Below are 24,074 nucleotides of genomic sequence, written 5' to 3'. Positions count from 1 at the left end.
GCTGGCCAGCCACAGTCAGCATCCAAACAAGGGTGAAACCGCTGGATCTATAAGGCTCTGCCCAGCCTTGAGATGCCCAATTCTGGGTCTGGGCTGTGAACCAGTGGGTCTGGCCCCTACGGATACCTCCAAGCTATTTTGCTGATGAGTGACTTCAGAGCTGTGTAAGGTGCCACAGGAGAGGGACCCCCAGAGAGGGGGGCAGACTATGAGTACATTTTCGCGGTCTGCTCCGAACCAGGCCTAAACCTCCCAGCACCATATTTTCCTCAGGGTTATAATGTGTCATTTTGGTAATTGCCTTGTGTAAACTTACAAAGTTTGTCAATATAAATACTGTGTATATATAGGTTTGTTTGGCACACACACACACACACACACTCAGGGATTTTGAGAGAACAAGGCCACACAGTATGCAAGAAGGGCAACTGGCTCTGGCCTGTGAGGCAAGGAAGCTGGGTCCAAGGCTTGGCTCTGCCAGCACTTCCTGTGTGCCCTTGGATAAGTCCTTTCCTGTCTCTGGGCCTCAGTTTTCTTATGAGGGGTTTGGTCTGGAAAAGAGCTCTCAGAAAAGTCCTAGCTCACTCTTTCCTGGCCCCTGACTTCTTAGACTCTACCTGAACCAGCATGAGGGCAGCCAGTGAGGCTGCTAGCCAGTTCCCCTGACAGCAAGGGTTCTACCCAGGAAAATCCAGCCATTGTGGGTCTCTGGCGCACGGGGTGGATTCTAGGGTCTCCCTTGGTTTCCCCTGGTGCCCTGGAACTGAAGGATCCACATGGAGCTTCTCCCTAGGGACCTGGCCAGAGAAAGGGGGCAAGCTCTTCTCTTAGAAGCCAGCTCCTCACCCACGACCACTAGGGAGGCTGGGAGGGACCAGCCATAGGGCAACAGTGATAGGCAAGGGCTGAGGACACCTCTTCTAGTTTGGGCAGCTTCTGCCTACAGGCCTTGGGAAGTGTTTATCATGGGTATGTTTTGCTCAGGTACCTGGCCACGGGCTAGAGGAAGCAAGCTGGCATTAGAACCACAGGATAACTTCTTAGGATGTTTTACAACCTCGCAAAAGGCCGGCTTTGGTGGATGATGACAGCAACAGTCAGGTCATAGGGTCCACTCTCAAAGCAGGAACAGTCCCCTAGAAGCTCAGCCCCAGGGCCAAATTGTCTACTCCGTCCCTCATGGGAGAAGCAACAGCTACTATTTATTGGTACTTGCTATGTGCCATGCATTCAATATTTGTTTTAAAAAATGAATGTGAATGAATGAATGACTCACTTTAGAACCCAAATTTTAAATCAGTGTATTCTCCATTCTACCTCTCACATTCTTGTGACTCAGTCACCAATACAAAACAGAATCAAGAGTTACCTGGGCACTGAAAGACTTTTCTAGAATGTGAGGTCTCTGGGAGCAGGGACCTTGTCTATCCTACTCTTCACTGTACTCCAGTGCCCAGACCATTGACTGGCATATAGTAGGTACTCGGTAAATATTTTCTGAATAAATGAATAAACCTAGTACTGCTCCTTCATTACCCAGACAGGCATCTGCCTGCCCCTGGTCAAAAAGGGAGTTATGGCAAAGCAGGGACAGGCCCTCAGGTCTCCAGCCTCTTGGTCTAGGGCTCTATCACCTGGATTAAAGGGCCCCATGGCAAACTCCTCCCACCCTCCCATATCTCTTCATCCTTATTCCCTCCAACTCCCAGCTTTCCCTTTTTTCCTTTCTCTTTGCCAGCTGAATAATTAACCATTGAAAACAGAAACTGTAATTACTCTCCCCAATGCCTTTAAATTGCTTTCATTTTGGGTTCTATGACCCCTGTCCTGGGTGGGGGCTGGTCTCCCCCTCAGCAGCCTCGCAAAGAGGAAGCCAACCTAACCAGCGCCAGCTGGGGCCCCAGCCCCCTAGATCCAATGTCCAGCTGTACGGGAGGCCGGCAGCAGATGGGTGAGGAGGGTCCCAGGCAGGCTGGGGCTGACTCAGCTAGGGTGTCAGTGGGACGTGCCCAGGCAGGACAGGAGGCCAGGTAGGCAGGTGGGCTGGATTTCTGAGAGTGATTGATGCCAGGTGGCCAGAGGGCCGCTTGCTCAGCAGGGTCCAACCTAGGATGGCCCCAGTGGGGCCTGGGTCTTTCCGTAGGTTGCTTGGCCCAGCTTCGTGCCCCTGCCTAGTGGATACCAGCCCATTCATGTCACTGGTTCCTCAGGGAGGCCACCTGGGAGCTTAAAATCAACCAGTGCAATAAGGTCACAAGAGCCTTGGCCTTCCAGCTCCACAAGGCCTTACCTTTCAGGGAAACTGAGGCCTGGTTAGCACCTGCTCAGTTTGGCTTTATTGGTGAACTGGGCTCAGCCTGCGGAGAAAGCCAGGCAGCCCCACCCTTACCTGGGAAGCATCCTGTATCCCTGACTCACCAGGAGCTTAGGCCCAGCTGGGACAGGAAGGAGAGTCAAGGGTGGGGCAGTCTGGGGCCCTACCACTGGAGGCTCCCACCTCCTGCCTCCAGCTAGCTGAGCTTGGTCCCTCCCTGACCAAGATAGATGGAAAGGGAATGGGGGGTGGAGGTGGGGAGGGCTCCTGTTTTTTAAGATCCCCAAGGAAGCATGCTTGCTCAAAGGCAAGAAGTGGGAAGTCATACCCCTCGCTCTCAAGGAATACCTCTTATTTGCTCGTGGTGTAATAAAAGGCCTGCACTTGTATCCTAGTGCTCCTGTTCACCTGATGTGTGTCCTTGGGCAAGTTACAGCCCCTCACAGGGTCTCGGTTTCCTCATCTCAAATATAAGTCAGGTAATTCCCCACCTACCACCCTCACAGGGCAGTTTGTGAGATTCAATGAAACAAAGTGTGTAAAAGCATTTGAACAAACTGGCAGGTGCTGTCCAGATGAAGGACACAAGGAACTACTAAGCACACTGTGTGACCAACAGTGTGAGCACCAAGCTCAAACCAGCACCAGCCATGGCACCCATGCTAGGGCAAGGGAACAGCCAGTTGCGAAGCTTCTGGGCTAACCAGCAGATTGCCCCACTTTCCTTTGTAAAATCTCCCTTGGATTTTACTTCACACTCCCACAGCTGCTCCCAGGGGGCCCCCAGTGCTCCATCCCCCACTGGGAGGGTTGAAGGCGTGGACTGGGTGGGGGACTACTGGAGGAAACTCAGTTGGAGAAGTGCGGGAAGTGCTCACTCAACTGAGTCAGGCTCTACCCCAGTGAGCGACACCAATCTGGCCTGAACCAACCCTGATGAGAGACCCCCAGCCCAGGCCGGGCCCCACTCTGGGCAGGCAGTCAAGCAGCAGAGGCTCCATCTGATCCAGGCACTTCCTTTGGTTAATGAGAAACCAAATAAACAGCCTCTGCCCCAGCTGGCTCCAGGAGCACCCCAGCCAGGCCCAGCCCTACACTAGCCCAACCTTCCTTCCCTCCGCCTGCAGGCCCTGTGGCTTTCCGCCCCCTTTCTTCTCCACCAGCTCCCCACTTCCCTCATAGCCCGGGTGGCACCTTGGCTAATTCTCTGGGGCTTCCTACTCTGGATCACTCTCTCTCTCCTTCTTCTTCCTCTTTCCTCTGCTGCCTTCTACCCCATTTTTAGCTGCTGGATCTCACTTGTCCTCTTCCCCTGACATCTGTCTTAGCCGTCTCCACAGGGAGTCCCCCCACAAGACCAGCAGGCGGCTCCAGGCTGGAGCAGGAAGGCTCCAGGCCCTGCCAGTCTGCCTCTCCGCTGTGGGATGGAGGCCAAACCCTCTTCAGGGCCCTCACCACACTCTTTGACTTGAGCAAGTTACTCATCAGCCTGTGGGAGGTAGACCGGGTGCTCAAGGCTGCTCTAGCTTGAGGGTATCGACTGCTGGCCAGAAGCCCCCAACTATGCCATGGTGGTGGCTGTGGTGTGGCCCAGCTCAGAAGCAAGATTCTTCTGGCTGAGAGGTGAACTGGGCAGCCTGAAGCAGGCCCAATACCCAGTAGGCTGCAGCTGAAGTTCAGATCTTGGGAAGTTATTTCTATCCACCTCCAGGCGTCCTGAGGCAGGGCAGGGCTGGGCCTGCCAGCAGGTCCCAGATCTAGCCCCAGCTAGGTGGTGGCAGTACTTTGTGGACACACCCAGGTCCCCATGGGAACATCCCCTCCTCCATTAACCCTCTCTAACTGGGCCTGTGCCAGACTGGGCAGATGCCCGTGGCCTATGCCACAGAGGTGACAGGATGAACAGGGGAAATGGTCTCAGGCTCCATGACAGCAGAACAAGAGAGCAGAAAAACCTGGGGTGAGGGGAGTGGCAGGAGGGTCATAGGGCATTAAAACATCTTGCTCCACTAGGATAGCCATCATCTGCCCGTACCTGCCCCAGTCACCAGTGGTTTGAGCACAGGAAAGCGCACACACACACACCCCCACCACACACGCACGCACACAACTCTCACTCTCCATTTCCCAACATCACGACACCATTTTACACCCATTTCTCCATGTGGTTAATTTTTTTTTTTTAGTTCTCATTTTTTTCTAAGAAAAAAGCAACAAGAAAATAATTCAGAGTTTATACAAAACATCTTTACATTATTTTTTTTCCAAAAAGACTAGTATTTACACAAATGGCAACAGAAACAAAAACAAAAACCCTTCCGACTGCCACCTGGAAGGGGCTGGCTGTTCTGCTCCCTCTCCCACCTGGCACTGGGGTGGGCAGCTGGCCAGGAGGCAGTGTGGAGGTGGATGGTGTGAGGGCCAGCTCCTTCCATGGCTGCTCTGGGAGTGCCTGCAAGGCGCACTCAAGTGGCAGTCTGTTAGCAGCCGTGCTGGCAAGGAACTGGGGTCAAAGTGCACAGCGGGCTGGCCCAGCCCCAGGCAGCCTCTTCCTCTTTCCAGGCCCCAGCCCAAGACTGGGACAGCAGCAGGAGCTGGGTTGGGTGGGGGTTACCCACCTGTGCTAGGGCCCAGAAAAGGAGCAGGCCACCTGGTCTTATACCCGCTTAGGTCTCCACCCTGGGCCTCTGTTTCCCCACCAGGCCAAAGGATGCCAAAGGTAAGGAGAGAACAGGGTGGGGGGTGGGGGTGAAACTCCCAGCTCTGCAGGGCAAATAGCCACCTGGGCACCTCACCTCCCTCCACCCCCCATGAGGTCATCTGCCTGCAGCAGCTCTCCTGTTCCCCAGGCAACAGCCAATTAAGACATTAATTACCGTGAGAGTGAGGGAGGCAGGAGATGCCCAAGAATCCCACAAGGAAGGGATTTTTTTTTGTGTGTGTGTGTGTGTGTGTGTGTGTGGAAGGGTGGCAGTGACTACCCCATTGCCAGGATAAGCCTCGTAGGAGGGTCAGGAGGGGAGGGTGGGACACCTTGCCCAGTGGCACTTTCCTCTTCCCTCATGGGCGTGAACAGCCCTGGCCTGCCCCTTACCCCACCAGAAATACCAAGGAATCTATAAAAGAAATGGCATCCTATGCTTCCTGGCTGACCACATCGTGCCCCAGGCCCTCTTGTACTGGCTTGGGCCAGGCTCACAAAGCCTGGGGAGGGGCTGCCTTTTACATTTTTCCATTTTTCTTCAAAAAACAGATGAAAATGAGTTGACAGCTAAAAAATGAACACAAAAGCATTAAAAACAGTGATGATAGCGGACAAGCAGTCCTGGGAAGGTGGCAAGGGGGGCGAGGGAGGGGCAGGGCCAGGGGACTGTCTCCCTGCCTGCTGTCCATCAGTGTCCAGCCCTGCCTTCCAAGAAGGGGCGCCCCCACGGAGCCCAGAGGCCTGGCCAGAGGGGGAAGGCACAAGAGCATGGGGGTTAGGGGCACAAGCACCCCCCTCCGAAGCCCAGGGGGCAGGGAAAAAGGGGGATTATAAAAGCCAAGAAACTACAAAACTAAATACAAAGGTGGGCACAGCTGGCAAGGGGAGGGGGTGTGGGGGCGAAAGGAGAGGTCCGGTCCAGGCCGACTGTCCCTCGGGGGCCTGAGGCCGTGCCGGGCACTCAGACCTTGTAGTAGATGTTCGCCGGGCTCTGGGGCGGCATCTCTTGGACGATGTAGACAGGGTGCCCGTAGTCCCCACTCACCTTCTCATAGTGGGGGCAGTAGTTGTTCTCTGTAGTCCGTAAGGGAATGATGATGTCGCTGGGCTCGGTGCCCGCTGTGCCACTGCCCCCCTTGGGACTGGCCAGGGTACTGAGCGAGAGGGCAGCCGCCCGCTGCTGTGTGTGCTTGCGGTGCCGCTTGCGTAGCTTCAGTAGTAGGACCGTCAGGAAGATGATGATGAGCAGGAAGATGACGCAACCGGCACCGACAGCCGCGAACAATGCCACCTTGGAGTTGAAGAAGCCATCAGGGTCCCCGCTGCTGCCCCCACTTGCACCTGGGCCACTCTTCTCTTCCTGGTTCACAGTCTCTGAGGAAGGGAAAGGGGAAGGAACAGTCAGCCAGGGGTCCCAGGGACACACAGCAGATTTCAGGCCAGGCCCAGCTTGCATTTCTTCAGGGACAGGGCCTAACAAGGTGACAGAGCAATGGCTCCTGACCTCTGGGAAACACATACACTTACCATGCTTGCCATCAGAGTCACCCAGGGAGCCCCGACTACCAGGGGCCTGTGTGGCCATCTTGACAGTGTTGTCTGCCTCCTTGCTGGGCCTGCTGGTAGTCAGCTGCTCAGGCGTCACAGCATTGGGATCTAAGAATGGAGACAGAACAGGTGAGAGGCAGGGACCCGGCCAGCATAGGTGCCCTCAGTCATCAAGGGTGGGCCAAGAATGGCCTGGATACTGTAACCCTACGCCTGCTCCCCCACTCCTAATACACATGCACCCAGCCAGGAACATCTGTTCCAAAGGTCAAACAGGGTGGGGTGAGGGGACCCTCAGACTAGGCACTCACCTTGCCCAACCTTCATGATGATCTTCATGGTGCGTGTGCGGCACACACCGCCCTCCCGGTTTTCCAGCCCCTCCAGGCTTCCATTGGATGTTGCTGCAGGAAGAGGCCAGAGAAGTCAGAGAAGTCAGGAGGAGAGAAAGGTCTACTAGCATTACCCAGAAACTCCCATTCTGCTTCAGCCAACAGGGAGAGAAACTGCAGTCGGGAGAAGCAAGCAGCTCCCATCTACCAGTGAACCTTTTCATTTTCTTCCCTCCCACTAGGAACAAAATGGCCTAGTCCAGCCCAGGCCAAGAACAAGCCCCACCCCCAGGGGCACTGCTCCTCTGTCACGAGCAGGCCATGGCCCCTCGGTAAGGTCTGCCTCCTCACTGGGATCATAATGGGGGCTTCTACATAGACTGAAAGGAATTCTGGAGTAGGAATCAGGAGAACTGGGTTGGAGTCCTGACCCTATCTCTAACTCACTGTGTGATCTAAGGCAAGAAGTCCCTTCACCTTTTGGGGCCTTGGTTTCCCCTGAAGAAAAAGGCTGAATAGCTGGCTGATCCCAAAGGGCCTGGCATATGTTACCATTCCCAATATTAGAACTTAGGTGGGCAAAGAAAATAAGAGAGAAGCAACACGAATTGGAGACCTCTCCTGCCCAACCCCTGGAGCCAAGGTGAGCTTGGTAAATGTTGGGGCGAGAATTCCAAGGCCAGGCTAAGAGGAGAACATGCCAGTCTTCAAAGGGGATCAGATCCAGCAGGGTCTTAACTACATGCAATAGCATTGCACCACTTAGAAGCTCCCACTACTACAGGAGAGGAAAGAGTTAAGCCCAGGGAGAGAGCCAGAGGATGGGATGGGCGGGACTCACAGGTAATGTAGTAATCATGGTGCTTCTTGAACTCCAGGCCCATGTAGTTGGGGCTGAACTCCTGGAACTTGATGGTAAAGCGTATTTCCTGCTCTGGCCTATTGCAGGTGACCAACACGTTGGGGTCGAGAACTGTGCTACAGGCAGCTGCCTGCTCAGGCCGCACCAGGTACAGCTTGTAGTACTCATAGGGCCGCCCTGCTTCTGCTCGGGGGCAGATGATGTCCAGCTTGTCTCCAATTTTCGGATAGATCACCAAGCCCTTCCCACTCAGGAACCTGCCCAGAAGGAAGAAGATGGTCAGCCTCAGGGTTGGGGGTGGCCCCAGGCCATTCCAGAACCAGGGAAGCGGACAAGAGCCGGGCTGGGCCTACTGGGTGGAGATGGCAAGAGCAAGCCTTCTGCCCTTCCTCCATCCTCAGGCTGGGGGTGGGGAGAGAGAACCACACTACCAGGAGAGTGTGGAAGGGGTGGCCCATGGGCAAGGCTGCCAGGCTCTGACTGCTCGGCAGGGTGGAGCACTGCCTGGCTGGGGGAGCCCTTTGTCCTAATGTGGCATTTCCGCAGGGGGCTGACGTGGCCAATGGGCTGGGTACCAAGGTGTCAGGCCCATGCTACCTGGAGGTGGCAGTCTTATATACCCCCACCCCCAACAAAGATTCCTTCATGACCGCTGCTACTACCTCTCCTATACCCATACACACGTGCGCGCGCGCGCGCGCACACACACACACACACACACACACACACACACACACACACATACACACACACACAGCAAGCCCACACATGTCTTAGTCACCACTCCCCGCAGCTCCCAGCCAAAGGCTGGGGGAGCTCAATCTGTCTGGGACCCATGTCTTCTCCCCCATCCTTACTAATCTTGGTCATGATGGAAAGATAGGAACAGGCATCGCCTGGAGCAAAGGGATGATGGCCACAGTCTCTGGCCAGGTGCAGCTCTGCTCACTCCCACTGCCTATTGTCCTACTGGCAATTCATCCCACCCTCAAAATGCAAGAGCCTGAATTCCTAAACTTGATTCATCTCATTCTTAAAAAGAACAGAGGAGAAGAGAAGGGGCTCAACCAGAGACAACAGATCATAGAAGATAGGGCCTCATCTGTATCCTAACCTGTCACCTCTATGTTGCTCCTACTCCAGCTCCTGAGAGGAGATGGACAAATGCCTTTTGAGCCAGGTTCATATTCTAATCCAGAAGGCCAGGCACTGGGGGACAGCAGGGAGGGTCAGCAGCCCAGGACCACCTATCCATAGGACTCTGTCCTTGCCTAAGCACACAGAAAGAAAATGGTGCTCCATTGGCCATTTCTGAGACTGGATGGGCTGGTGCTGAGAGCAAGGCAGAACCATGTAGGAGAAAGAACACAGACTTTAGAATCAGATTCCAAAGCTAGGCCCTTACTAACTCTGTGACCTTGGATGAGCTGCCTGTTCTGAGCTTCAGTTTCTTCTCTTGTAAAGTGGGGGTGGCAAGAGCCCCTACCTTCCAATATTGTGGTGGGGAGACAAGGCAGCACATGGAGAACACCTAGCACACAATAGGCGTTCAACATGTTTGACTGCCTCTTAGAAGCAGTCTCCCAAGAGGCAGGAGGTCAGATACTAACACTAAGTACCTATGAGCTCACTCTCATATTTTGGAGGGGAAACAGGAAGAGAAGATATGGCTCCATCGTCAAGGACTTTACTGTCCAGTTTGGGTCAGAAAAGTAAATAACCCATACTCGAGTGATAGACAACACCAGGCTATCTGTAGGTATGTGTGAGGATGATGATTCAAGCAGCAAGGGCTGGAGGCAGGGAGAAGAAAGAGATAGCTCATCTGACCAGGATGGTCAGAGATGTATCCACAGGAAAGGCAGGATGAAAGTGGGTCTTAGGTGAGGAATAAGAAGTCAACACACTGAGACAGTAGACAGCAGTGGCTACAACACAAAGCCCAGGCCAGTGATTGGTCCAGCTTGGCTGGGAGTGAGAAGAGAGAAACAGAAGAAGAGGTGAAAAGTTCACCTGGGGCCAGACTGAAAGGCTTCAAGGGTCACAGCAAGCAGGGTGGGTTTCATCCCATTGGAGACAGGCTCTCAGAGCAGGAAGGACAATGGAAGGCTTCAGGCAGTGCTTAAAGAGAATGAAGCTGACAGTGTCATGCACCAGTTCACAGGCTACCACAATCATCTGAGAAAAGAGTGGTTCCATTTCCTGAGGGCCCATTACACCAAAGGTACTACAAGCAATACCGGCCTACTGGGAACTCTGGGCAAATGCCTTTGCAATGCCAAACCTGTGTCCTCATCTGAGGGAGGGAAATGATACCCAAGTAGGCGAAGAGGGAAACTGACCACATGGATGAAGTGGACGAAGAAAAGCAGCCTTTCCTCCATGTCGAGTGAGGCTCCACCAAATTGGGAGCTGCCATCTTGATGTGCAGGAGGGTAAAAGCCAGAATGAGATGGCCTCCCCACTGGTACCTAACTATAGAGGGCCCAGAAAGGAAGTAGGCATGGGATGGAAGCCTGGATAAACATTTCAGATGGAATACCCCTGTCCCATGCACCATACAAAGCCAACAAGTTTCCCCAAAGCCTCTAGAATTCTCCAGGCATTTTTTCCCTTTCCAGTGCTCACAACGGTTCCATCCAGATGGCAGGATTAGACAACTGCTCACATCTTAGAGCCAGCAGGAACCTTAGAGTCCAGGCCCTTCATGTGAGGGAATGAATGATCAGATGAATGTTCCCATTGAAAAGAGGGGTCTAAACCTACCCAGGACAATAACCCGATGGGTCTAAGAGGCCCTAAAACATTACCTGAATCCTTGTACTGTTGCATCTTAACAACACATATATATGCAGCTACATAGAGGGCACGGAAAGGGAGACAGGCCAGCTCAGCTTTCTAACCACTCGGTTCTGGCTTACTCACCAGGGAGTCCTGTCTACCCCAAGTGCAGTCTCCCATTGCCACCCAGGTTCCAGAGCCCTGGAATTGGAACAGGGCTTCTAGCTAATTGGGGTTCTACCTTGAAGCCAGAGGCATTGAGGAAACAGATGTCTACATGATGGAGGAGGGGGGAGAAGAGAGAACTATTGCCCCCAAAACCCCTCAGAGTCTCTTCAACCTCAGTGAACAGACTTCATAAATATTCATTAGTTCATTTGCATGGCAGCTGGCAGAGGGAAACTCACCTTCCCCTGAAGTGCAGAAGGGAGCGGAGCCTGATGAGACCCGCCTTCCCTGACCCTGATCCCCCATACTGGTAACCTTAGCATCTTCCCGACCACTGGGCAAACCTCGTCTTGACCTGTCAGAAGCTCAAGAGAGTGGTAACGGGCCATAAGGGATGGGTGTATAGCCAGTGAGAGTGAAGGCCAAAGCTAGGTAGAACACTAGTCATACTTTAAAGGGGGACCCTACAGTTCTCCCCTCTTACCAGATTAGGAGTAGGAGTAAGGGAAGAGGAGGAAGAGATATCCCGAAGTGAAACTCTTTATCCTCCACCTTACTTCCCCCCACCCTAGGACCAAGCCAAGCTTTTCTGTCTGGGGCCACCCCCAGACAAAGCCCTTTTCTGAAAAATAAAGGGATTGACATGGCTCAGCAGGAAGCCTGAAGCAGGTCACCATGGTAACCCCTGAGGCCTTCCCTCTCCAGCCTCAGATAGCCCTGGGACCCCAGGGCGCCACCCCAGGGAGTAAAAGGACTTGGGGGAGGCGGCCTAAGCTATTCCAGCTCTTCCCCCTCTACCCTAACCCAAGTTCTACCTTCAGCCTTTCTACCTAGCTTAGAAGCACCACGATGCCATCACTGCCACAAAGAATCCTGGGATATGAAAAGCCTGAAGGGGTTGGGGACAGTAGCCTCCAAGGCCCTGGACTGGCCAGAAACCAACTAACCAACAGCCCCCTCCTTGTTTTCTCCGGATAAGCCCTTCTCCACCCATGTGAATACAATTTACAGGGGGCAGGGAGAGCTTGCAGCTAGGAGGGTCTTGCCCAGAAAGCTGCCCACATCCCACCAGGTCTATACTTCTTTCCCTGTCACCCTGCTCTCAGGCTCTAGCAACTTGTGGTCAGAGAATGACCAAAGGGGGAGCCTGGTTCTAGGCCATGCAAGCCCAAGTCTGGTAGAAGCCTCTAGCCTCAACCTCGATTCAGTGACCCCACGACCACTGCACCTGCACCTCCCAGGGTGGCAAGACCAATGGAGGACAGACCCCAAGCCAGAGCTCAAGTCTGTTCTCATCCCAGCTAGGGTGGGGAGCCCCCAAATTAAAGGCTCCTCTTTAACTCCCCCAGCTCCACCCAGCCCCCGAGGCTGGCAGGAGCAGGCCTGGCATGTCCCAGCAGTGCCCGCCCAGGCGTGGGTGGGCAGGAACAGCAGCTGGGTCCTGGCACACACAGCTCTGTCAGAGGCAGGGAAGCCAGGAGAGTCCTGGAGGAAGTCACCCTCCCCATCTACACTGAACTATGCCCTTCCCTCTGCCCCACCTGGCTAAGGCTCGTGTCCATTATGAATTTAATACCCCCCCTCCTCGATGTCGATGTCTGCTTTCTGTGGGGTCCCTGAGAAGAGAGATTCTTAGCTCAGAGAGGAACCAAAGGTGCCACTCAGAGCTCCGCAGGGAGTGTGCCAGGCAGTGAGTTGGCTGCCTTTAGTTCAGGTCACCCAAGCAGTCAGCCCTGGAAGGTAGGCCTAGAAAAGTCAAATGAGGAAGTTGGAGCACTGCTCACCCCACACAGACAGGGCCTGAGTCACAGGGACAGATGCTTGCACACCTGCGAGGTAAGAGGGGAACTCAGGGGCAGGGAGCCAGGGCCTCTTCCCAAACCCCACCTTGAATTCCTGTCTCTCCTACATTTCAAGGCAGCAGGAATGAATGGCACACAACACAGCTCTGCCCCCATAGGCAAGTCATTGACTGGCCTTAGACAAGTCACTTCCCTTGTCCGGGCATATGCCTTCTTATCTGGAAAATGGGACCAATACCTACTTCCCAGGGTTGTTGGGAGCATTCGATGAGATCATATATGAGAATGCATTGTAAGTAGCAAGGTGCCGCCTGCCTATTAGTTAGCATGCCAAACACAGCATTATTTAGAAGTAAAAAGCTGAAGGAGCTTACATTCCTGGCTGCTAGCACCCTGACCCAAAACAATGATCGTGAAACACGCCCAAGAGGGGCTGCTATGGTCTGCGGGGTAAGGAACCCAGAATGTGGCTGGTGAGCACCCCCGTATCTCAGCTCCTCTAATAGTCACAGAGTGGACTCTCCCCCAAACCTGGTGTTCCCATGGCAACTAGCAGCCTCCTGGCTGGCCCACTCTATCTCCTTTAGTCCCTAACCCCAGAAAACAGTGATGCACCATAGTATCCAGGGCCCACGCATCCCCATTCACCTGAGCGGATGAGACAACAGAGAGCCCAAGGGAAGAAAGGGAACCCTTGATTCAGTCCCCACCCCAGCCTCACAGGTCCTTCTTGCCCTTGCCTGGCTGCCCTATGTGGGAGAGGGGAGGCAGGGGAACAGGGGACTTTAGGAGCTGCTGGATTCCCATCACTCTCAGGCTCCCACCTGTGGCCAATCAGCCACAAAGTAGAAGAGGTCAGGTCCCTAACCACCCCGGAAAAGGGCCCCCTGAGCTGGCCTCCCCAGGACTGTGAGCTAGAACAGCTGTGTGGGGCTGGGGCCAACACTTTGGCTTGGAGCAGGCAAGCATGGGTTGGGGTCTGCAGCTGCCCCCACCCATGCTGGAGTCAAGGGTCCTGGATGCCAAGCTGAACCCCCCCACCCCCACCCCCTTGTAGGGAATGTTTGTAATGTGATCTCAGGCACATTCTGACTCCCTGGAGGTGGGGGAACCTGAGTGGGGGGCAGGAAGGGGTCAGGACGGGACTGAGAGACTGAACTGCAGCAGCTGGACTTGGCTGAGGACTCAAGTGTGAGGCCTGCCGGCTGCCCCAAGTTCCCAGGGGAAGAGGCTGCGGGAGGGGTCGCCTAGGACCATTTAGATAACAGCCCCCCAACTCAGACACACACACACACACACACACACACACACGCACACACAGAGGTTCCTAAAAAAAACTCTAGCAGGACCAAACCCATCCCCCCACCTTGCGCTCATGGGGCAAATCTGACAGGAGGGGCCAAGGAGGCAGAAGCTCCTGCCACTCAGGGACTAGCATCCCAGAAGGCCCCAGCACCAATTTGGGAAAGAGGCTTGGGAGTCTTGGGCCAGCCATTCCCGCTTCCCCTCTCAGTCAGGGCTGGGGCCGGGCCGCACGCACCTTGGAACCTGGAAGCGGACCCCCAGCCCCACCACTTCTTTTATTTTGATTTTTTTTTTCCCAAGAAGGAAGCAATTAAGCAGGGTTTATAGGCACTGGGAGATTTTCTTTTTTGGGAGGGGGGTTGCCAGCTTCTGACAGGGCTGAGGAGAGAGACCAAAAGCCAGGAGAGGAAGAGGGGAAGGAAGAGAGAAAATGAGCCTGAGAGGGAGAGCACGGGCATGTGCGAGAAACAAAAGGACTTGAGAAAAAGAGGCAGAGAGTGACTAAGAGTGAGAGGGAGTGTGAGAGCAAGGCAGAGCAGGCGAGCCTAGCTGGAGAGGGGAAGTGAGCGCTGCTCGCGGAGGGTATGAGAGGGCGAACTGACACGGGCCTGAGAGGAGAACTCGGGCAGGAGGCAGAGAGGGAGGGAGACAGAGAGGGACTGTTTATTTGAAAGGCTGTGGCAGCCTGAGGGTTGGGCGCGGTGGCAGAAGCAGCCCCCAAAGCTCAAGGAGAGCTGAGGGCAGTGCCTCCTTCCTGTCCATTTGCCCCCACCACCCCGAGCCAACACATGTAGACAGTGGCTGCATTCCAGACCCCTGAGCCTGGATGGAAGGAGGGTGCACCAGGATCAGTCTCTGATCCTTCCCAGGATCTACCCAATTACAGAATGGAATTCGGACAGTTTCTAGAGAGTCTTCAGCCACCCCCCATCCTCACCCCACAATGCCTGCCCTCAGCTTGAGGTAGATGAGGAGGGGGGTCAGAGAGGATACCACCCCCCAAAACCTGTAAGCCAGTCCAGAGCACTAAAGTCTCTGAGCACAAAAAGGGGGAAGCACAGACAGATCGTGTTTCTTCCAGCACCCCCAACTCTGCAGGAGGGCTCCTTTCCAGCTGTGGAGCTGCATGCTATCTCTGGTTAGAGACCCGAGAGAGCAATTAGGTCACTCCCATGAGCCCCTATGATGGGCTACCCCAGGCGGATTTCAACTCTCCTGGCTCAAGACAGAACATTTCCAGCCTCCACCCTTACCAGGGTAACTGAGCACTTCACAACCACTGAGCACTTCACAACCACTGAGCACTTCACAACGTTCCCCCCTGGGCTCAAGCAGCCCAGAGCTCCCAGAGCATTTTGAGCCCCTGCTGTTAGGAGAGTGTTGTACCCCGTTTGGCTTCTGGGTAGGAAAGAAATTCTTGCCAATCCCTTTCCTTGTACCCAGGGAGAGCCCTCCACCCCAACCCTGGTTTAGCCATCCCACCAACCAGTAATAGGACTCTACCTTAATCGAGGAGAAGAAAACTAAAGCTGCCTTCTCCTACTCCAGGGCTGAGAGATCAAACGTCCCTGGGACCCAAGAGGCCAAGGTAGGCAGGAGCCTGGGAAGTTACCCGGGGCAGGGCGGGGCTGGGGGGGAGGCGGCGTGGGGCAGCAAGAGTGGACAGGAAGAAATTTGAGATACAGGAATCAGTGATCACGGATGGAGCAGGTCAAAGCTCCCCAGTTTCCTGCTAAGTGGGGTTGTTCGCACATTGCTGGGACCTCCAGAAAATTGAGAGGAAGGGCAATTTTGACCCTTGGTTCCAACCTGAGTCCTGGATGCCAAAAGAGAAGGTCCAGAGGTCACTACAACAGCCCCAGCGACTTCCCACTAAAAGCCCAGAAACCACTGAGCCACCGCCCTGAAAGGTGTGCGTGTTGTTTGGAGGGGTTGTGTGTGTGGTGGTGGTGGGGTAGTTGTGCAGAGGAAGGAGAAGAAAGAAAAGAAAGGATGTCCTTTATATAGCTGCCCACTCCCCGCCCCAACCCCTTGGGGAAAACTAAGCACAGCTTCCCAATCTGGGGGACAGACTCGGGGGCCAAGGGGACCTGCCTGGGCAGGAATCGCTCCTTCTCCACCCACCTCCCTCAACAGCTCGGCCGCCACTCTCCGCCCTGGCGGGCCCTTGAAGCTCTGTTACCGGCTCCATTGGACCCCTGACGGGCACTGGTTCGAACCCCCACTACCCAACGACCACTCTCCCACTCCGCCCCTCTCCACCCGCTGCCTTTGTGAGCCTGGGAGCAGCGCCCGCCTTTCTACCGCTCCGGCAGGGAGAAAGGAGGGGCGGGGGGCAAAAAGAGACAGCAAAGCAAAAAGCCAGGGAGGAAAACAGGGAAGAAAGAGAAATGAAAATGGGAGAAGCCCGAGTGGGGATGTTGGCGCTGCCACCCACCCCAAGCGCCGGGTCCCGCTCTGTGTTCCCTCCACAGCTACGCAAACGAGGAACCCGTGTTCTGGCCTCGTCCCTCGCCCGAGTCAAGCTCGCTCCTGGAGCGGCTCTCGGCGAAAATCACCACGTTCCCAGGGGCCCCGGAGGGAGCTGCGTTCTCGCCTCCACTCAGTTCTCCGGTGCGCTCTCGGGCGCCCGGACTCCCCAGCTCCGCCTGTGCGACCACCTCGACTTCATCCAAGACGTGCAGAGGCAGGGGGTGGGAAGCCCGGGGGGTCACAACCCAGCCAAGTGCCCCTACCCCACCCCGCCGCACCCTGCTCCATCCGCCCGCCCGCAGGAAAACACTCGAAAAAGCCGGAGACAAAATGAGGCGCCGCTCCTCCTCCGAAGACCTCCCCACATGCACTCCGGGGCGTGCGGCCTCACCCTGAAGGAGTGCCTCCCACCCCAGCGTCCAGAGGAGATAAGTTACTCACTTGGGGTTGAGGGAGCTCCAGGATACGGGCTCCAGGTTCTTGGCCAGCGGTGTGGCGAGCCGGCACAGCGCCCACACGACCATCGCCACAAGCCACTTGCCGAGCCAACGCTGCCCAGGCCGAGCCATCTTCCCGGGGGCAGACTGCACTTCGGGATCCCTTGGCGCCTCCTCACCAAAGCTCGCCTCGCCTTCCTCTGCCGCGCTGCGCTCGGAGCCGCTCAGGCGCCCATCCTCCGCAGCCGCCGGCCTTGAAGTGCTCCCCTCCCGCCGGCTTCGGTGTCGCTCTTCTCCGCCCGGCCGGCCAGGAGGACTCACTGGGCAGCCGCCCCCAACCCGGGCATGGGCTTCGGCCCCCGAGGGCTCGTTCTCCTGGGCTCTCCGCTGCCGCACGAGGCGCGACGGGGGCTCTGCGCCCCCGGGTGATCCCGCCCGATTCCGCTCGACTTCCCGAGACGCTTCGGGGCTGCGCGCCCTCTCCCCGACGGGGTCTTCCCGCAGAGGTCTCGGTGACCGCCCCGACGCCTCGACCGTCCCGGGATCGCTGTCCCTTGGAAGAAGTGGGGGTTTCCCCACAGCACAAGCTCGGTCCCCGGGCTCCCGACTGGGCCGCCCTGGCACGGGCTCCGTTCCTCCGGGCCACACTGGGACTCCGGGCTACGCGCCCCCGGACAGCTTCTACTTCAGCGCGGGCCCTGCTCAGTGTACTTAGAAGAGCGGGGAGATGCTGCCGAGCGAGCCAGTCCCATTAGTTTGCGCCCCCGAAGCCTCGGCCGGGTAGCCCGGCAGCCTCGCGTCGCCGAGTCCTGGCTCCCGGGCGATCGAGCCCGAGGGTCTGCGGCCAGTGCGAGCCTCACAAACCTCCCACTGCTGTCCAGCTCGCATAGACTCCCTCCGCTGCCGCTGTGCTGTCTACTCCCTTGCTCAGGCGAACGCAAGGCCAACCCTGCTCTCTTAGCCAATAGCAAGCTCAGTGGCGGGGTCCTTGCCCCATACCACGCCCCCAGAGCAGGAAGGGGGCGGGGTTTCAGGGAGCTCTTAAGGACGCCGCGCGCCCGATGGCACCAATCTGAGTGTGCGGCTCGTGCGGTTAGGGTTGGGTCCCTCTCAGTCCTGTTCCCAGAGAGCTCAACCCGTGGGAAGTTGGCACTCTCAAGAGCTGCCGGCCTGCTCTCCTCTCCACGCGTCTGGTCAACACCCCAGCCCACTGACCCTGTCCCAAGTACCCCAGGAAAGTATTTCCATTTTCTTTTTACACACAGGACCCCTGAAGTCCTGCTCTGTGCCCACCTCCGTGTCAAGGACAGCCTGTCTGCTCCTCGTCCAGTCCCACGTAAGGCTTTAGTGGGCTTTCCTCCTCTCGCCCTCAAAATGCACTGTCTGCTTGCACTTGGACCCGGAGTCAGGAACATAAAAGTGAGAACAGTGGGAGGGGGAAACTGGTGAGGGTCCAGTACTTGATTGGGGTTAGAGGTGGGGCGGGGAGCAGGGTGGGGTGTGGTGGGGAGAGAAGGCGTGTTCATCGCCCCTGGGGACCAGGCCTTCGGAATCTCAGCTTTCTGGGGGAGCCTTGTGGGACCTCTGGAGCCAAGATTTAGTCTTGTCCTGTCCGAAGGCGCGGGCAAGGTCCCGGGATAGGCAAGCGGGGATGAGAGGGCACGTCGATAAAGAAAGACACCTCGAGGGCAAAGAGGAAAAAGCACAGGGCATGAGACTTTTGAAAAAGCAAAAGCGGGCATCCTGGACCGGAGAAGCCGGACTCCAGCCTGTCCCGGCCTCGCCATCTGGGTCTTTGTCTCCCAGCCCTGGCCCATTCTTCCCGCCCCGCCTTGCCTCTTTGCTTATAACTTGGCTCGATCCCATAGCTCAGACCTTCCAGGTCCGACCCACTCTCGCTGGTCGGACCCCAGAGGACGTACCCACGTGCTAATGTCTCCCCCTGCTGGACTTCCATAGCACTGCGGGCGCCTGGGATAAACCCGGAGCTTGCCATAGCACAAGACCTGGGACAGGCGTAGCCTTGGCAAAAACCGTCACCCTGTATGGGGAGGAAGGGAAAGAACTAGAAGGATATCTGAGTTTGGGGTAGGCTTAGGGACTGCCAAGAATACAAGGTCTCCCCACTTTTTCTTTATGGAGATAATTAGATGAGCAACATTCCCAAAGTGCTCCACCATTCACACAGTTTCATGTCCATCATCTCGCTTAATAGGTGACTGAGCTACTGCGTTTCTCAGTGGATCCTCTGATGATCTTTGTGGCTGTAGAGGTGGGAATAGCCCAGATTTTGTCTTTTTATTTTCTCCCAAATAGAGGAGAAAATAGGGAAAATCTGGGCCCTTCCCACTTCCAGGGGCAGCCCTTGAGGGTGAAGTGGCTCTGGGTAGGTAGGGAAAGAAGGAGCTGTTTGGGGTCTCTGAGCTCTCAGCTGGACCCTGCATTGGGGTGTAAGGAAGGAGAGATGAGATGAATAGGGTGTAGGGACACACCAGTAGTCTAGCTGGGAGACTGGGATCCCTGGAGTGCATGCTAGGACATCAAAACCTGAATACAGAAAGCAGCCTGCTGCTTACTGAGTGCCTACTATTGTCAAGAACCAAGTTAGATGCTTTTCCTTTCATAACCTTTTGAAATGAGTTTCAGTATCCCCATTTTACCTACAGGGGAAAGTAAGGCTCAGAGAGAAGTGACTCATCTGAGATCACCAAGCTGATCAGTGGTGAAAGCAGGATTTGACTCCTGGGACATCTGTCTCCAAAGCCTGTGGCCATTCCCCTGTACCATACTGGCTCAAATTCCCAGCCAATCCTTGCTTCTTTGCTTCTTTGGTTCATTCCTGGTTAAGGCTGGGTCGTGCATGGACAGCAGCAGCCTGGGGCTGGCCAGGACTCTTCCCTCACTGTCCTTCAAGAGGTTGCCAGGCCTGGAAAGTTCATCTATATTCCTGGCCATAGCCCAGAGTTCTTCTCATCTAAGACCACCACTGCCAACCCTAGAGCCAGCCTTGATTCTTCCTCCCCACAGCCAGCATGCCCGGTGCCCCACAGGAGGAGAGCCCAAGGCCAGGTGGGGGATGGGGAGATGAGGCTATGCGGCCAGTCTTGGGAAACATGGGAAGACAAGCAGTTCCTGAGTGTGCCAGCACCTAATCCCGGTGGGCAGGGTGGCAGAGGAAATGAGAAGAAGACTCTTTATGTCCAGACCTGCTCCACATGCTACTTATCCCTGCTCACAGCACAGCCTTTCTGCCTCAACCTGCCCACACCAGCTACAGGGGCCTCAGGAGCAGAGCTGAGCCTACTCCCTGCCATGGCTAGGCCAGTGATTCCAGGTTCCCACCTCCTGACCCACCCTGGCGGGGCCTCAGATGTAATGATTCAGGCCCCCGAGGTAGGGAAAAATTACTCCCAAGGGAGCCTGAGAGGAAGTCAGGATCTGTGAGCAATGGGGGCCCTCTCATCCAAGCCCTCCCTATACCATTGGCAGTCACTCCCCACCCATTTCTCCCAGGTTACTGTGTCATTACAAACACATCCACGCACGTGCTCACACACACACACACACACACAACTATCAGGTTTCAAGTCCACCAGCATTTCCTGAGCAGTGCCTCTGTGCTGACCTCTGAGCGGGGCCATCCCTGTTGACACAAAGAGCAGCTCCAACAAGCCCTGCCCACAAGGAACACCAAACACTGATACCTGTATGTGGGGGATCCTGGACCCAGAGATGCAGGAGAACATCTGGCAGCTGCAGGAAGCCTCGGGCATCGTGCAGCCCTGGGAGAGCAGAGCTGCTCCTTCTGAGCTCAGCTTCCCACACCCATGAGCAGCAGGGAGGTATAAACTTCAGAGCCACAGAGTTCCCTGCTTATGAACTGTGTCTCCTTGGGCAAGTCAGTTCACCTCTGTGTGCCTCAGTTACTTGTCTGTAACCTAGAGGTCGTCCCTCATTCACAGAGCCGTGGTGACGGGTGAATGAGACAATGCATGTGAAGGGCTTAGTATCATGCCTGGCCCACTGTGGTACTTACTAAATGGAAACTCTTACTCTTCTGCAGAGCCTCCCACAGAGACACTCTCATCCCCAGTCACACACGTTCTCACCTGTTCACACATGCTTTGTGTGGCACATGCACATTTTTTATCTCCTCTCATATTCTCACACACTTGTACATATATGCACACAAACTCTCATTCTTTCTCACCTATCCATTTATTCAGCAGAAGGTGGCAGGACCGGGTACTGTCCTCGTGGAATTTAAAATCTAGCCCCCAGAGTTTCTCATGTTCACTATCATCTACACATGTGTATGAACATGCACACACCTTTCTATTTCTGTGGCCCTTGTCCTTGACTTCTCCCTGCCTGCCTTGCACTCTGAGACACAGAGAGGTGAAATAACTCACCTAAGGCCACCCAGCCAGGAAGTGGAAAAGTCAGGATGTAAACTAGGCCACACTGATATACCAAGGCTGTGGAAAGGAGTGTGTGCCAAGGTGTGGGCCTGGGAAAGCCAGCAGGCCCAGCCAGAGCTAACAGTTAGAAAAGCAGACTGAAGAGTCAGGGAGCAAGGATCCTAACTTGAGGTCCAAGGCATTGCCAACTGGGACAACCCAGTGGGGCTAGCAACCCTCTCTCTTGTCTGCAGTCATCTCTAGCCTGCCCCATGCCTCCTATTTTCCTCCTAGAAGACCTACTACCTGTACCTGCACATCTCACATACACTGGCACCTATTCCCTACAAGGAGAGGGAGAGCTACCATTTATTAAACACCTACTGTATGCCAGGCAGTGTGGCTGGGTGCTTTCACCTGGTGCTCTATTATGTTTGTTTAATCTTCACAACATCCCTGAGGTTGATATTGATAGACCTGTTTTAGAGATGAGAAAACTAAGGCTCCAGGCTCAATCTGGCTGCATCCTCTGCTCCACCAACCTCAGTCTGCAAAGTGCTCTTTTGCTCAGCCAGCTTATTCCCACCACCCCCTTCTCTGCTGTCCTTCCCTCTGCCCACACTTGCCTCCTAGCTGAGACCAGCTGGGGTCTATGCTGATCTTGGGTTGCCCTTTCTCTTCAATGAATACTTTGCTTTTTTCCAATTCACCCTATCTGTAGGTCAGTCTCTGGGCAAGCCTGGGGTGGGACCTGAGACTTCCCACTCTTCCTCCTTTCCCCACGTGGCTGCATCATACCCCAGGGCTAGGTGAGATCTAGCCTCAGGCGGGTAAGATCTGGAAGTCTGTTTTCACTGCACCCACGAGAGTTCCCGGTGGCTGGGGAAGAAGGGGGTCGTCCCAAAGGCCAAAGGTTCAGCCAGACTCTCTCCCCAGCCCTTCCCTGTCCCTGCCCCAGCTGCATGCCTGGTTTATGGGTATTTGCACTGAGATCATCTTGATTTGCCAGATGCTAGCCTGTGTCAGGTTGATGGCAGAATGGCACTAGGGATGGGAGGAGCCCCTCTCTCCCTCAGATGGGTCTGGTCCCCCTCCCTCCTTCTCTCTTTATCTCCTCCTCATACCCCTTACCCCTACCCTGGACTCCTAGACATCTGTCCCAAAGCCTCAAGCTCCATGCAGGCAAATGACCTGCCCCCCTGTCCCTGTAAGAGCCTGAAATAGGGCATCTGAGAGCCAGAGCATGGCTTGGTGTGCATAACAGGTGGACAAGCCTCTGAAGGGCAGCTGGGACCCTGGGCCCTCAGAGGCCTCATCTTCAGAAACCCCTGCCCTGCTGGGTTTCACTGATCTAGGCTCAGTTTCCTCCAGTAGTGCCCCTGTCCTCTGCTCTCCAGCCCAGCAGGAGGCAGCCTAGGTAAGGGTAAGCCTGTTGCTCTCTTGCTCTGGTTACCTGGAGAATGTGCAAGGCTAGGCTGGGCCATTCATCACTGTCAGGGGCACAGGAATTCGAGGGAAGGGAGCAGCACCTGTCCTCATCTGTCACTGACCCCAGCCTAGCTCCTCATCTCAGAGGGCCAGTGGGCCTGGGGGAGGGCGATGGGATGCATCTTTGCCAGGTCCTCCTCCTGGTTCCCGAGTGAACACACTAGACACGTCAGGCCCCACAAACACCGGGAATAAAGTTCCTATGGAGGAACACCCCAAGCCGAGAGTGCATTTGGGCAACCGAGGAGCAGAGGGAAGGACAAGCTGCTTCCTCAGTGCTCCAGCCCCCTAGCTCTGAGCCCTCTCTGGACTCCGAGCTAGCATCCTGCCTCCCACCCAACCATGGAGGTTAAAGGGTCAGGTTCTGGGCTTTCTTGGCTGATAACCCCAGGCCTACCAGGAGAGAGACCACGAGCCTCTTGGGGCATCCCGAGGACAGAATAGGGGCTGGACCCAGCTGGCCAGATAACCACTGGCAGATATATGGCACCCAGGCCCACCACCCTCCAGCTGCCCCTCAGCCAACCCAGCCAGGATGTCTGACACCTCCCCTCCCCACTCACAATTTAGTCTATCTTGGTTTAGAGACCTTCCTTCCCACCTTCAATGAGGAAGGTCCTGGTAAGGGCCCAGTCTCTAAGCCTTTAGTCTCTCAACCAAGCCTTCCCCGCCCCACCCCCACCAGACATCCTCCTCTCCAGGGCTGCCCAAAGAAGTGTTGGGGTGAGGCTGAGGCCCTGACAAACCTCGATTGACAAACCACTCAGCATCTTCCTCGCCAGGAAGCCAGCCCCTCAGAGGAACATCAATCTCCCTGGCCTGGCTTGTTTTTCTTCCACAGCCTTTCTCCAGGACACAAAGCAGAGCCTGCGGCAGCCCCTGCCTTAACTGGGAAGGGTGGGGTGTGGAGAGGGAGGGAACTTTCCTCCTGGGATCGGTGTCCCTGGCAGAGGTGCAGAATACAGGAAGTTTGGGAGCTTCTGCACTAACTTAGTGCCTGAAGGAATTAGGGCTCCAAAGACCAGGGAGGGAGAGGGTGTGATCTTAGAGGTGAGGAAAAGAGGCAGTAAAAGAGGTGAGGAAAAGAGACAGGTTATTGAATCAAAGTGGTGGAGTCCCCAAGCAATCTTTTCCGCTCCCTAGTAGCCTGCCTATTTCTCAAACTCTGTCGACCTCTGATGGCCAGCTAAGTATTTGCATCCCTAAAGCTGAACCAGCACTGAGCCTCGCCCCCAGCAGCCGAACAGAAGACCGGGACACGGCCAGCTTCCGGTGCTGGCCTGGGCTGAGCTAAGCCAGGAACGCCCTCGTTTCTCCCTATCCTCCCTCCAGACACTGGAAGTTAATCTATTCAGGCCTGCCTGAGCACCCACCTCCTCTGGACAGCCTTCCTGGAAGGCCCTAGCCCACAGGGACTGTTCCTCTCTTTGAGCTCCATATTCTGACTGTACTGCCCGAGAT

General features: G+C 55.5%; 1 protein-coding gene across 1 annotated transcript, besides 2 other annotated features; it reads right to left on the bottom strand.

The window, feature by feature from the left end:
• On the bottom strand, positions 4,474–17,613 carry EFNB1 (ephrin B1). The gene is made up of 5 exons (NM_004429.5): positions 16,730–17,613; positions 7,740–8,017; positions 6,878–6,970; positions 6,546–6,674; positions 4,474–6,392 (listed from the first exon to the last, which is right to left on the bottom strand). Exons 1-5 carry the CDS (start codon positions 16,855–16,857, stop codon positions 5,980–5,982), a joined length of 1,041 nt encoding a protein of 346 aa, NP_004420.1. The 5' UTR covers positions 16,858–17,613; the 3' UTR covers positions 4,474–5,979.
• Positions 22,492–22,992: an enhancer, noted in NCBI's record as "H3K4me1 hESC enhancer chrX:68043485-68043985 (GRCh37/hg19 assembly coordinates)". NCBI's record gives its function as "activates a minimal SCP1, AML or CMV promoter by ChIP-STARR-seq in naive and primed H9 embryonic stem cells {active_cell/tissue: H9 hESC(naive and primed)}" and the evidence as "EXISTENCE:reporter gene assay evidence [ECO:0000049][PMID:30033119]".
• Positions 22,993–23,493: an enhancer, noted in NCBI's record as "H3K4me1 hESC enhancer chrX:68042984-68043484 (GRCh37/hg19 assembly coordinates)". NCBI's record gives its function as "activates a minimal SCP1, AML or CMV promoter by ChIP-STARR-seq in primed H9 embryonic stem cells {active_cell/tissue: H9 hESC(primed)}" and the evidence as "EXISTENCE:reporter gene assay evidence [ECO:0000049][PMID:30033119]".

This window comes from Homo sapiens, chromosome X (genome assembly GCF_000001405.40).
Source record: "Homo sapiens chromosome X, GRCh38.p14 Primary Assembly".
Taxonomy (NCBI): domain Eukaryota; kingdom Metazoa; phylum Chordata; class Mammalia; order Primates; family Hominidae; genus Homo; species Homo sapiens.
This window is presented reverse-complemented; position numbering and strand designations above follow the sequence as displayed.